Raw genomic sequence first — 13,873 nt, forward strand, 5'->3', positions numbered from 1 at the left:
AATTGGAAACTCTGGATATATGCATGGGAGCTTGTTGGACTACTGTGAGAGTGAGCAAGGATCTGCTTGTTTCATTAGATAAACCCCCAAATATTAGGATCTATATGTCTTTTTTTCCATTTTGTTTCCCGAAAGAAGAATCCTCCAACATCTAGTCTGGCATCAGACGCTTGGATTCATGGATCCTGAGAACATTTTAGGCCTACTCTTCCCTCAGACTTTTATACTTGCTATTTCCTTTGCCTAGAATGGTATTCCAGATATCCCATATGGCTTTCTCTCTCTCACGCTCCATCTTTACTAGAAGTTCATCTTTTCAGCAAGGCCTTCTTTGACCACTCACTCTGAAATTGCCCCCAGACCTTGACACATACCCTATCCCCTTTCCCTGCTTAATATTTCTCCTTAATATCATTTAACATAGTATATATTTTAGCTTCACATAGCTATATTTTCTATTAGCCGTTTTCCTCTAATAGAATACAAGTTTCATGAGGGCAGATAGTTTTGTCCGCTCTGTTGACTGCTCTATCCCCAGTACCTAGAACAGTGCCTGGTACATAATAAATGATCAATACAATTTGCTGATTAAGCATAAAACTAATATACATTAAATTACTACAATATTAAAACTATATTATTGAGGCTGGGCGTAGTGACTCACACCTGTAATCCCAGCACTTTGGGAGGCTGAGGTGGTTGGATCACTTGAGGTCAGGAGTTTGAGACCAGCCTGGCTAACATAGTGAAACCCCATCTCTACCAAAAAAATAGAAAAATTAGCCGGTTTGGTGGTACACGCCTATAGCCCCAGCTACTTGGGAGGCTGAGGCACGAGAATCACTTGAACCTAGGAGGCAGAGGTTTCAGGGAGCTGCAATCACACCACTGCACTCCAGCGTGGGTGACAGAGAGAGGCTCTATCTCAAAAAACAAACAAACAAACAAAAACAAACAAAAAAAACCCCAAAACAAAACCAAACCAAACAAAAAACCCGTATATTATTGACAATTTTAAAAGTCACTTTTAGGCTTAGAAAGTTCTTTTCCACCTCTATAGTTGTAATCTCTGTTTTCTTTCAGTTATGTCATGGTTTAGACATTTATACTTTACTTTTTGGACCTTTTGAAATTAATTTTGGTATAGGGTAAAATAATCTAAGCTTCCTCTTCTCTTTTCTTCCTTTCTTCTTTTCTTCCTTTCATTCTTTTTTTTTAAACTAATTTTCCTATTAATTTTTTGAAAAATAATCTCTCTCTTCCCTAATGTGTCTGGCAATAAATAAAAATAAAATCAATTTTATTTTTAGTGAGTTCATGGTCACTTTTCAACCTTTAAATATTGCTTTGTGTAGTGCTCCATTCAAAGCTCTGTTTTATGATTCTCTAATAGGTAAAAAATACGGATGACAAATGTGCTTCTTTGTGGCACTCCAGAGTTTTACTATTAGAACTAATTTCTCCCAAAGCATACCATGTACCTTGAGAATATTAACATCCAACATGCGAAGATTCAAATCGTTCAAAAATATGCTGATTAACTTGTATTTTAGGAAGTTAATTTTGTTGCCCAATTTCTGAGGTAAATATTTCTTTTCTCTCAGAAATCCCAAATGTAGTTATAACGTTGTAAAGTGTCATGGGACTAATGAAACTATATGATTGTAAACATACATTGTGGTTTTAATAACTCAGATTTATTGTTTGTTCCTATGCTTTCTTTTTGTTTTTCTCCCTTTAAGGTTCATAACAGCCCTAAATGCCTTGGTTCGGTGTATTCTTGTTATCGGTCAATCAGCTTGTTCTTTTCAAACCAAGAGGAAATTCGAATTTATGGTCATGAAATAAAAAAGAATGGAATCAGGTAGGATATGGGAAACAGTGAAATGTCAGTAACACCACAAATTAATAGAATTTCCAAACATCACATGCTGGAAGTGAACTGTGGAGAGTAGGAAGAGAGGATTTCTTCAACAATACTCTTAAAGCTATAACATACAGACATCAAAACTTCGGTAGGCTCTGAGGCCAGCCAGGTGGTCAAGAGTACAGTAAGTTTACCCTTCCTAATGCTTGTGTGCAGAATATAAACATAGTATGTTTACATGGGTGGAGATGAGAGTCTCTCTCTCTCTTTTTTTTTTTCTGAGAGATTCAAGAGATACCTTAAGAGTATCTTAAGAGTTCAACTCTTGATTCTTTTTGCCCTCTTTCTTAAATATTTTCTTCTTTCTTTGAAGCAGAAACTTAAAAATCTATTTTCTTTTATTTGGAAAGGATTCTGGAAGTTCTTTCCAAGTTTGTGTGAATGGGTTTTGGGTGTCACTTGAGATTTTCCACGGAAGTTCTGACAGACTGAGAGCCAACAACTGCCTGGCCTCGAATAGATCAGAGAGAAGTCAACTTCTAGTTTCCTATCTGCCAAAAATATGACATGAGAATTTTGGGGCAGGGGATGTTTTCGTATTTGGTGGAAGGTTTTTTTTTTTTTATGTTTTAACCTAGAAATACTGTGGAATAATCTACCTTCCAATCTAAATAATTATAGAGAGACTCAGTTTTTATTATTTCCTGGCTGGATTATGCCAGAACAAGTAAATTGTGGGCTGGAACAATTCTATTCATTCAGAATTCACTAACAAGTGTTTGAACCATAGGAATTCTTTCCAGCGCAATGGCTTTATCAACCCGTGTTGCTTTTTCTGGGCTTAGATTCCTCAAAAGGCAGCAGGTGGTAGCAGAAAGGGCAGTGGAAAGAGCACCAGGGGAGCCTTGAAACAGCCAGACAACCCAGAGCAGCTTCTCCCCTTGTCTGAGGCTTATTTTCTTGGTCAGTTGGGTTCTGTACTTCTCATTTTCCCATAAAAGAAAGTTTAGGCATTTGAGTAAGAAGATAATGCAGTTACACGTGTATTTCCTAGAGCTGAATTTAGATAGTCATTTAGGATTCTCTATATGGAATTTTGGGTAATACAATGGGCATTTAAAAAATTATCATGTTTTGTAAAACAGACTTGCCATTCAGATTGATTTTCAAGAATATTATTTCTTTATTAAAGGAGAAACATAATATTTAATTTTAACTCAGAGAAAGCATTTCTATGAGGATTTCAGATTGTGTGATAGAAAAAGGGTGGTCTTCTTATTCAGCAATATTGCTTACACAAATGCTGTTCCTGGCTTGGGGCCTAACTCATAGCAAATGCTACAGAAATATTTGCCATAATAAAATCAAACATGTGGCTCTGTGCATGAAGCTTTACTTCTCTGGATTTCAGTTCTTTCACCTGTGAAATAAGGGGTTTCAGTACAAATGAATCCCTGAATACTTTTCAGCATTCAGTTCTGCATTCATTTAGGTTTACATTTTAATGTTTCCTGCCTAGGTTGCATGCTTTTCTTTGACCTATTGAATATTGTCTAGTTTAAACTATTATTTCCCATCTCCACTGGCATCCTTCTGTGTTATAAACTTCAGGATAATCACAGTTTTCCACCTTTATTTTCAAAAACTGAGTATTTAATTAAATTTACTGTTAAAGAGACCAAATGACCAAGTGTCAAATGACCAAGCAAAAAATACGCATAATAGTACAACTATACTTCCATAAGATTAGCTTTCCATTACTCTGAAATATATTTATAAACAAGATTCACTTCTTTTAAGTATAGTTTTTATAAACTTAGAAACTTAAAACAATTGGTATTTCTTTAATGTTATTTCATATTGACTTTTACTATGAATTCCTCATATTTATAATTTTTAATAAGAATGCATTATGGCAGTAGTTAGCTAGAGTCTTTTTTATGTATTCTCCAATTTAAACATTTAGCTATTTTTCTAGTTTTGTAAATAATTTTCTGTAAATAAGTATCTGTAAAAAATTTTTTGTGCAAATGGCTACAGATATTTTGAATTGTTTCTTTGGGGATTATCCCTTTGTTAATTAGTATGCTCAGTTTTGTAGTTTTTGGTCCATTAAGCCATGCTCTTCCTGGAAAGGAACTCACTAATTTGCAATTTTTGAGAGAAATGTATGAATATACCTATTAACTACCCATATTATTCACATTATGGTATATAATTTTTATTTGACATGGCTACCTTTTTAAAAAATATTTTTATTTTTATTATTTTTAAACAGAGTCTCACTCTGTTGCCCAGTCTGGAGTGCAGCGACATGATTTCAGCTCACCACAACCTCTGCCTCCCAGGTTCAAGCGATTCTCCTGCCTCAGCCTCCCAAGGAGCTGGGACTACAGGCACGTGCACCATGACCAACTAATTTTTTTTTTTTTTTTGAAGTAGAGACGGGGTTTCACTGTGTTGGCCAGTCTGGTCTCGAACTCCTGACCTTGTGATCCACCCACCTTGGCCTCCCAAAGCACTGGAATTACAGGCGTGAGCCACCGAGCCCAGCTGACATGACTATCTTAATAGAAATGAGTTTTTTCCAATTTCTGTAATTATTAGTACTTACTCTTTTTGGCAGTACTGATGGATGAAAGGATAATTGTGTTCTTTCAAAAGTATTCTAGGTGCTTTTAAAATATTCAATTGTTTAGTTCTCTTCAGTTACCTTATGTCACCCACTTCCTTTATATGTGCATATGCTTGTGAAAAATGGAAAAATTAGACTTTGTATCAGGAGCTTAAATATTTTATGTGACCCTTGTTTAAATAGCCCAAAAGGTATCCAATTTAAAAATTTTGAGTATCACCTCTATGCAATACTGTATGACAAAGTACATTATATCCCTAATATTGTACTTTGTGGCATTAAATATGTAAGTTATAATACGTCATCCTTTGATTTTTTTTAGAAAACAATGACTTATGTCAAGGTGTCATTTTAAAGATAGAAACTCATATTTCCTTATAGCCACGTTTAAAATAAAATTAAACAAAATCAGAAAACTCAAGCATCATGTTTGTATATTTTGATGATTGTCTTTGCTTCAAAATTGTTGAGCAGCATTTTTAGATCACTTTAACTCTCTAGATAAAAAATAATAAACATGTTTAAGCTCTAAGTATACTAAATAGGCAAGGTTATTTTCCAGGTTTAACAAATCACCAGTATTTAGCAGCTGTGTGTTTTTGGTTGGTTCAAAGAAGCATCTAATTGTAAGTACAAAATCTAAATCAGTATAAGAAAGCAGCATCATTTTTGTTGTGTCTTTATTTCAATACTGAAGTTTTCAAAAATGTTGAGATTTTCCAGAGGATGGTTGCTTTGGAGCTCTTGCTGCACAGCTTATTCAATAATTTCAAGTAATCATTTTCTTTTAATTGTATCTCAGTCACTTAAAAATATGTCATCTGTAATTGAGACTTTATCATCATTCTTAGATAGCTTTTGTTCTGTTTTTCAAGTTTAACATTGCCTCAGACAATTGGACAGATTTTCATTGAGAAACTAGCTGACTACATTCTTGTGAAAACAACCTTTGGCTTTTCATTGGCTTGGGACGGGATATCTGGGATCTACCTCAAGCTGTCTGAGGACCATAAGGGGAAATCATGTGGCCTATGTGGAAACTACAATGACATTCAATCTGATGATTTCATAATTCTGCAAGGTAAGTGAAGCAGAATAAATGTGTGGGTACCTTCTAAAGCCTTCTTCTTCCCCTGACCAAGTTGTTTGTACCCAGAAGACTTGTCATAGCTTTGGGAAAATTTGTGGCTGTCACTTGCCTGCTTTAGTGATTTTAAGTAAAGGTTGAATAGGAAAATATTTTGGTGTAATTCTTGAAAACCATGAACTAGTTTACCTTTGCTAAATTAGCATGAAGCACTTACTCACATAACACATTTTAATAGAGCATTTGCTTTGGGTCAGAAGGTCGGGATACCTCTGTATCCACTGCTTTAGGAACCTGGAATACATCAGTGAACAAAGCCTTTCACATCTTCAAGTTTATATTCTAGTGGTTCAAACCCATTTGGGTCAGATATGTCTATGTTAGGTCAAAAACTATTTTTGTATCCCTTCTTGATAGGAATAAGTTGAATAATTGACAAATAATAGTTTTGCAAAAATAATCAACTGTGAGCAGGAAAGTTGAATAGTAACTTGGAAAGGTTTTATATACCTACCAGATCATGTATTAAATCTAAGTTATGAAACTAAAAGTGAGTTATAAGAAATAGGTTTTGTATCAATTCAGATACTAGTGTGCAATGGTGATAGAATAAGAGAATCACAAACCATAATCATGACTTAGGTCCATACAAGGAAGTGCAATAAGAAGAGAATACTGTTCTTAGTACCAGTGAACTTGGGTTTGAATCTCCTTTCAACTTTTATAAGTTCTGTAATTTGAGGAAACTCATTTAATCACTTTTATGCTTAGTTTCTTCAGCTGTAAAATGGGGCTATGCTAATTTGGAACTCACAGAGTAGTCAGTAATAATAATAATATACTTTGATAATATTTATAACAATAGTTTGAGCACATAGCTATGTTATTCCCAATCCTCACAACATCCTGTAAGGTGAGTAGTCTTTTCTTTCCTCTCCTTTCCTCTCCTTTCTTTTCTTTTCTTCTGTTCAAGATGAGGTCTTGCTATTTCTTTTCATTAAGATGGGGTCTTGCTATGTTGCCCAGGCTGGTCTTGAACTCCTGGGCTCAAGTCATCCTCTGGTCTCAGCCTCTCAAGTAGCTGGGACTACAGGTGCACCCTTGCACTCAGCCAGTATTATTTTCTGAATTTTATGATGAGAGCACAAGGTGATGTGTCCAATGTAACACAGCTTGTAACTGATACTGTCAGGGTTGGATTACAGACCTGACAGGCTCCCTGTGCTTAGATAAGTGTTTGAGTAATTGCCATTGAAGCTGTAAAGTGCTATATAATACTTCCGTTTTATATTATAAAATTAATAGAGATGATTTGCCCCTATGTTATGTTTTAAAGGATGGTGAAAGGACTACTTAGAGCATGGGCTCTGGAGTCAGACTGTGTGATTCAAATTCAGCTTTATCAATTATTAAATTTTATAAGTTTAAAGATATAATAAGAGCATATACTTCATAAGGGTTGCAAGGATTAAATGAGACAATTCGTGTAAAACAGTACAGTACCTGGCACATAGTAATACTCAATACATTTAATTTAATTTATAGTCATCTCCAAGTATTTCTCCATAAGCCTATAATGGGGCTGAAATAAAAACGTGTGAAAATGTCTCTACATTGCTTTGAGAAGCCTTTATTAAAATGCAAATGTTTTGCTCAAGATAGATAATGCATCGTCAGGATTAGTTTACTAGTAGCTAGAGTAGAGAGCAGGGCTCCAAAAAGTCAATTTCCTCATATGTAAAATAGAGATAATGATAATGACTCTGGGAGCTTCCCAGCCAGTGAATATTGAATGAGAAAATGTAAATGAAAGTGTTTAAAAGTTTCTGAGCACAATACAAATGTATAGTACTGGGATCATCTCGAAATGGTGTTTTGCACCCAGTTGGCATTTGCAATGAGAGGGGTCACAAATCTGGAATCTTGAGACTGTATTAGGAAGCAGGGTTTTGGATGCAGGCAGAATGAGTCAGATGGTAATTGCTGATTTATTTTTCTTCTGTATCAAAGCTTCACGAAAAAAAAATAATCCTTAGTCCAGTTCTCTGTGGTAGAGTTAGAAAAGACTGCTTTGGGGTAGGCCAGGTGTGGTGGCTCACTTCTGTAATCCCAGCACTTTGGAAGGCCGAGGCAGGTGGATCACCTGAGGTCAGGAGTTCAAGACCAGCCCAGCCAACATGGTGAAACCCTGTCTCTACTAAAAATACAAAAATTAGCCAGGCGTGGTGGCAGACACCTATAATCCCAGCTACTTAGGATGCTGAGGCAGGAGAATTGCTTGAACATGGGAGGTGGAGGCTGCAGTGAGCAGAGACCATCATGCCACTGCACTCCAGCCTGGACAACAGAGCAAGACTCTGTCTCAAAAAAAAAAAAAAAAAAAAAAGAAAGACTGCTTTGGGCAACTTCTCCTGGGATGCCCAGGGAACATGGTATGGAGGTCAGGATAGAAAATAACATCTGCTCTAGTTAGAGGCAGGAAGACTTAGATTTGAGTTAAGGGCCAGACAGACTTATATGTTCCAGATAACCTGGAACATAAAATGGTTGTTCATAGTGAGCCAACTGGGGCAGCATGCACAAGGGTGTCAGTCTGCCAGAGGAAGACTGGCAGAAGGCAATTGAACGGAATTATAGCTGAACTGGCAGAAGGCAAGAAGGATTCCGGAAAGTATATGGGAAAGACCTAAGGAAATATTTCAGCTTCTTCACAATGTTATTTGCTTCACAGTATAAGGCAGAGTAATTTTTTAAAAAAACCTAACTTAAAACAACTTTGACAAGAAACTGCCTTTCTATTTCCTCCCATAGTATAATAATGCAAGAAAATGTCTATAGATGAGCAGTATTACCTTTAGCTTTAAGAAGCCTGATATTTTCTTGAAACTCAACCTGTATTTTGCTGATTAGAAAAATCTTTAGAGAGAGTGAGTTTGATTGAATGCCAGTGAATGCATAGTTTCTTAATGGTGATTAAAATTGCATTTCTCTCTGCATTCCAACTCATCCTTCAGGGATGACTTCACAAAGAAATTAGACTTGTCAGAATTTCTGTACACATAGGAAGAAATATAATTTGTTGTCTAGTTGAGAATTCTGTTTCCATAATTCATGTCTACATCTAGCTATGTGACAACATAGAAGTCCTGGTCTACTTTCATTTTTTTCCCAGCATAATAATTAATAATGCCTGCCTTTCTCTCTCAAAAATGTCCCAATATGGACAGTAAATTACTCTACTTAGAGCATATTTTATACAAAGCATTTTAATTTTAGTTTAGCAGGCTCCCACACCACCATTAGATATGGATTGAAAAATCTCCTGATAAACAACTTTTAGGACCCTTGATGCAGTATAAAATAGCTAAATACTTGGTTCAAAAGCTGCAATTAAAGTGAACTCTAAGGGATTGGCCAGGTTGTTTAGTCACATTAAAATTCGTGTGTAAGTATTGAAATAAGTGGGTTTCTAGAAAATGTTTTTGTTTCTTTAGACCTCTAAAAAATGTTTTGAAAGGAAATGTAACTATAAGTGTACTTAAAAAGGACATCAGTTTTTCCATTTTTAAAAAGTATATTACAGCAGGCCCATACTTTCCTCAGTGTGCAACATTTCAGTGATATCAGAGACAAAGCAGCAGGCCAGACAAATTAGAAAGCCCTAGGATTCTTTTCGTTTTTGTTTTTGTTTTTCTTTTTTTCTTTTTCTTTTCTTTTTTTTTTTTGTTTGAGACAGGGTCTTTCTCTGTCGCACAGGCTGGAGTGCAGTGGCGCGATCTTGGCTCACTGTAACCTCCTCCTCCCGGGTTCAAACAAGTCTCGTGCCTCAGCCTCCTGAGTAGCTGGGATTACAGGCGTGCACCACCATGCCTGGCTAATTTTTGTATTCTTATTAGAGATGGGGTTTCACCGTGTTGGCCAGGCCAGTCTCGTACTCCTGGCCTCCTGTGATCCACCCACCTCAGCCTCCCAGAGTGCTGGGATTACAGGCGTGAGTCACCGCACCCAGCCTGAAAGCCCTGGGATTCTAATAATCTCTTTAATAAATTTCACAAATTCCCCTATATGTATTCATTCACTTATTTAGCAAATATATTTTGAGTACCTACTATATGCCAGATACTACACTAGGGATACAGCAATAGAACAGCTGAAACAAGCTCTCTGCCTTCATATAGTATGTATTGTAATGGAAAATAAAATAAACAGAGCAAAATATAATTTTTGTGAGCAATAGCAGCCATTAAAGAAAAAGGTAGAGAAAGAAGGTAAAGAGTGATGGAGCAAGTGTGTGATTGGTGCTAGTCTAGATCACATGTCAGAGAAGGGCTCTCTGAGGCATACATTAAACAGGCCTATATGAAGTAAGGGAGGCAACAGTGAGAAGATTTTAGGAAAGAGTGGTTTTGAAGGAGGAAGAACAAGAGCAAGTGTTCTGAGGTGGGAATGAGTTTGAGTGTTTGAAGAACAGCACAAAGTTAATATGACTGGAGTAGGTTGAGCAAGAAAAGGTGCAGAAGATATATGAGGGGCAGAGCGGGTTGGGAGTAAGGGGAGAACAGGGCCCAGCTCATGCAAAGTCTGCTAGGCTATGGTAAAGTTTAGGATTTTACTCCAAGAGAGCAAAGCATTCTTACAGATAATAAAGTCTCTCATCTTCCCGGCGTTTGATAGTGGAATGCACACATTATTTTTCTACTTTGAAGATATTCAGAGAGAGTGGCAAACATTTGGCTGGAGATTTCTGACTCTAGTGGTGCAATAGATTGTCATCAGTTGTTGACTTCTGACCATGCAAATCTGGGTGGTGGAGAACTCCAACCTCAAATCTGAAGTCTGTCTTACATGGAACTTTGAGATGTCATCTTGTTTGATTTTGCCAAGTCTTTGAGCTTTGAGATTCAGCCTTTGTCTGAATGGAGGAGGGGAAGGATTAATTTTTGCATCATTCCCTGAACTTGTTCTCAGATCAGGTAGAGAGACAACTTAAAAACTTGATTTAGAACAGAGAGCACTCTGTTGAGTCAGAGCACTCACTACCAAATATCTGTTTGTTGTTGCCCACACATTAACTCCTGAATCTTGCCTGAGATTAATGCTGGATTAGCTTTAGGGTTCTCAGTAGGGATGTCTTTCCTGAGCATGTTTCAAAACACTGTTCATCATATTTAGATGAAATAGATACACTTCTTAGTCTTCTCTTCTATTGATGTGTTTTCCAGTCTTTCATTGCCTATGTGACTGTCCTCTGAAATGTCCCAAAGAATTTGACAAGTTTTTTTTTGTGTGGACCCTGTCCACCAAATATAACTGCAATTTTAATAAGGTTCTTACTAATATTAAATATAATGAGAGAGCTGCCTGATAATTTTTACACTAAACGTTTATATTTTTTCGTTTTACGCATATTTTTTCTCCTTTCAACAGCACTGATTGAACATTGGCGATAAATGCTTCACTGGTGTGTACGTTGTACTCACTCACCTTCAATCCTTCCCCATGTTGTTTGAATGCAGTTTGCTTTTTCTTTCCAATGGAACTAACTTTTATTTGGTACCCACATTTTGTTCAATTTGTTTTTATTATGATAAAGTAATGTTATTATCTAATATCACATTGGTAATTATAATGTTACTGAGTTTAATGTTTTGACCAGGAAGTTTGTGTTGAAGAACCATGTCTGTTTGTGGAAAATGATATGATTACACCTATTTGTGTGTGTGTGTGTGTGTGCCTGTGTGAAATAGAGGACTATACAGAAGACATCGCTATGTTTGCAAATAGTTGGTCGGTGCAAACTCCAGATGACACCAAATGTGTACTCACACCCTCAGATTTTCCAAATCCGTGCTCCAGTGGAATGCCAGCATTTGAGGTAAATTTGATGTGAGAAATGTGGGCATGTCAGACAGAATACACATATATCTTATTTGTATAATTAACTAAGCATTTTTTAGTGTAAACACAACATAATTTAAAAATATTATATCCAGGAAATGTAATTGCAATAGGAAATCACCTTAATTTTAGAAATAGTGAATGTAGTGAATTTCATAAATGCAGTACTCATGAAAATAATGTAGTCAGAAAAATGTTAGTTAAAATGTATAAGTTACCATCTTTTTCCTTGTGAGAACTGAAAATCTTGCAAATAGATCTGTAAAAATAATAGAAGACTATACACATACCATGAAACATAGTCTAGTGACTGCCATCTTTTTTTGCACAGGCAATCTTCTTCAAGTGTCAGATACTGTTGCAGTTTCCTTTTCTGAGCTGCCATGAGTATATCGATCCATACTTATATATTGCCAGCTGTGTTAATGATCTTTGCAAGTAAGTGAAATGACTTGTAGTTGTAATAAAATTTTCTTTATGCAAAAAGAAGACCCACAACTACTTCTGTTACTTAACCATTTCAGCTGTTCACAAAATATTATGGGAAATGTAAAATATAAACTGCAAACAGCTATTAAAAGTTTGCTATATAACAGTCACCGTCTAATTTTTTTTATTGATACATAGTAGATGTACATATTTTCAGGGTATGTGTGATAATTTAATACATTCGTGTAATCAAATAAAGGGAATTGGGTACCTGTCACCTTAAACAGTTTTCTTTATGCTAGGAACATTCAAATTATTATCTTCTTGCTATTCTGAAATATACAATTGATTAATGTTAGCTATAGTCCCCCCTACTTTTCTATCCAACACCAGGTCTTATTTCTTCTACATGTACATTGTACCCATAAGTAATCTTTCTTCACCCCCACCTCTCTCCTACCCTTCCTGGACTCTGGTAACCACCAATCTACACTCTATCTTCATGAGATTCACTGTTTTAGTTCCCACATATGAGTGAGAATGTGTGATATTTGTCTTTCTGTTTGGCTTATTTCACTTAACATAGTGACCTCCAGTTTCATCCATGTTGTTGCAAATTACAGGATTTCATTCTTTTTTATGGCTGAATAATATTCCATTGTGTATATATACCACAATTTTTTTTATCCATTCATCCACTGATGGACACAGGTTGATTCCATATTTTGTCTATTGTGAATACTTCTACAATAAACACAGGAGTGCAAATATCTCTTCCATATGTTGATTTTGTTTTTTGGGGGATATATACTCCTTAGTGGATTGCTAGATTATATATGAATGGTAGTTATAAATGTTTTACCTAACTAGCATGAACAAATACTGTGGCTCTTAAGCATTTTTATGCCGTGAATCCCTTTTGGGAGTCTAGAGAAATTCATAGACCCTTTTCAAAAACAATGTTTGAAATGCACAAAATAAAACACATAAGATACCAAACAAAACTAATTCTAATAAAGTAGTTATCAAAATAATTAAAAAATGAATTTCTGATATATATGCTTTTAACACGCATTTCAAATCTAATAACTACTGCAGTTTGACATAGTGATTAGTGTAAACAGTGCTTTGTGAGTCTGTAACAATGGAAAATGAAAATATAAAAATATGAAAAAAGGACATATGAGACATGTGACAAAGTCACTGATATCACTAAGAATATTGTGATGTGTTGCCTATAGGCACAATTGAAGGAAATGCTAAGTTTCCATTGGAAATTAATGAAAATAAACATGTAATTTTCTTCTACCTAAGGTCACAGATTCCTGCATTCTATCTCAGGTTGTGAACATCTAGGATAGGTGGTTGCATAAGCAACAAATTTAGTGAGACTCATCATACTATGTTCATGAATGGTAGTTCATTGTAGAACCTACCATAAATTACTCATAATTAAAGTTTTTTAAAATTATTTTTCTTTCAAAACATCACCAAGTATATGTGATTACTCATCTTGAACCTTCAAGAGTAGCTAAAGAAATTTTAATATGTCTGTATATTTTATGAATCCCAAGAAGTATAAGTGATACATAGAAACTTTTAAAATAAAAAACCAGACTAGTTTTTAGTTTAGTAAAACCACTTAAATGACGTCTTGAGTAGCTCATTAAGAGGTTTATCAAAGGTGAGAACAAAGAGGAAAGGTTGAGGTAGTATGAAATTGTGTTGTTTATAACTACTCCTCTCTAATTAAATTGAAATTATTACAAAAATAACAAATGTAATATTTTCCAGATACTAAAATAAGCTTATTTGTGACATCTCTTACTTTTGAATAGAGTGCAGTTATACCTAGATTTATATGTATAGTCTCTAAATTGCAAGGATTCCTGAACTAATGCAGGAGCCTTGAAAGAACCCCCACTCTGCCTAAAATATTGGCTAGTGACCTTACTAT

General features: G+C 35.5%; 1 protein-coding gene across 7 annotated transcripts in view; it reads left to right on the forward strand.

The window, feature by feature from the left end:
* The window catches only part of OTOGL (otogelin like), a 281,344-nt gene that overhangs the window by 127,978 nt on the left and 139,493 nt on the right, over positions 1 to 13,873 (forward strand). For all 7 annotated transcript variants that reach the window (NM_001368062.3, NM_001378610.3, NM_001378609.3 and 4 more), the window contains 4 exons: positions 1,743 to 1,864; positions 5,378 to 5,583; positions 11,337 to 11,464; positions 11,819 to 11,925. In NM_001368062.3, the coding sequence (NP_001354991.2) occupies positions 1,743 to 1,864; positions 5,378 to 5,583; positions 11,337 to 11,464; positions 11,819 to 11,925 (563 nt within the window). The remainder of the gene's footprint in view (positions 1 to 1,742; positions 1,865 to 5,377; positions 5,584 to 11,336; positions 11,465 to 11,818; positions 11,926 to 13,873) is intronic.

Source organism: Homo sapiens, chromosome 12 (genome assembly GCF_000001405.40).
Source record: "Homo sapiens chromosome 12, GRCh38.p14 Primary Assembly".
Taxonomy (NCBI): domain Eukaryota; kingdom Metazoa; phylum Chordata; class Mammalia; order Primates; family Hominidae; genus Homo; species Homo sapiens.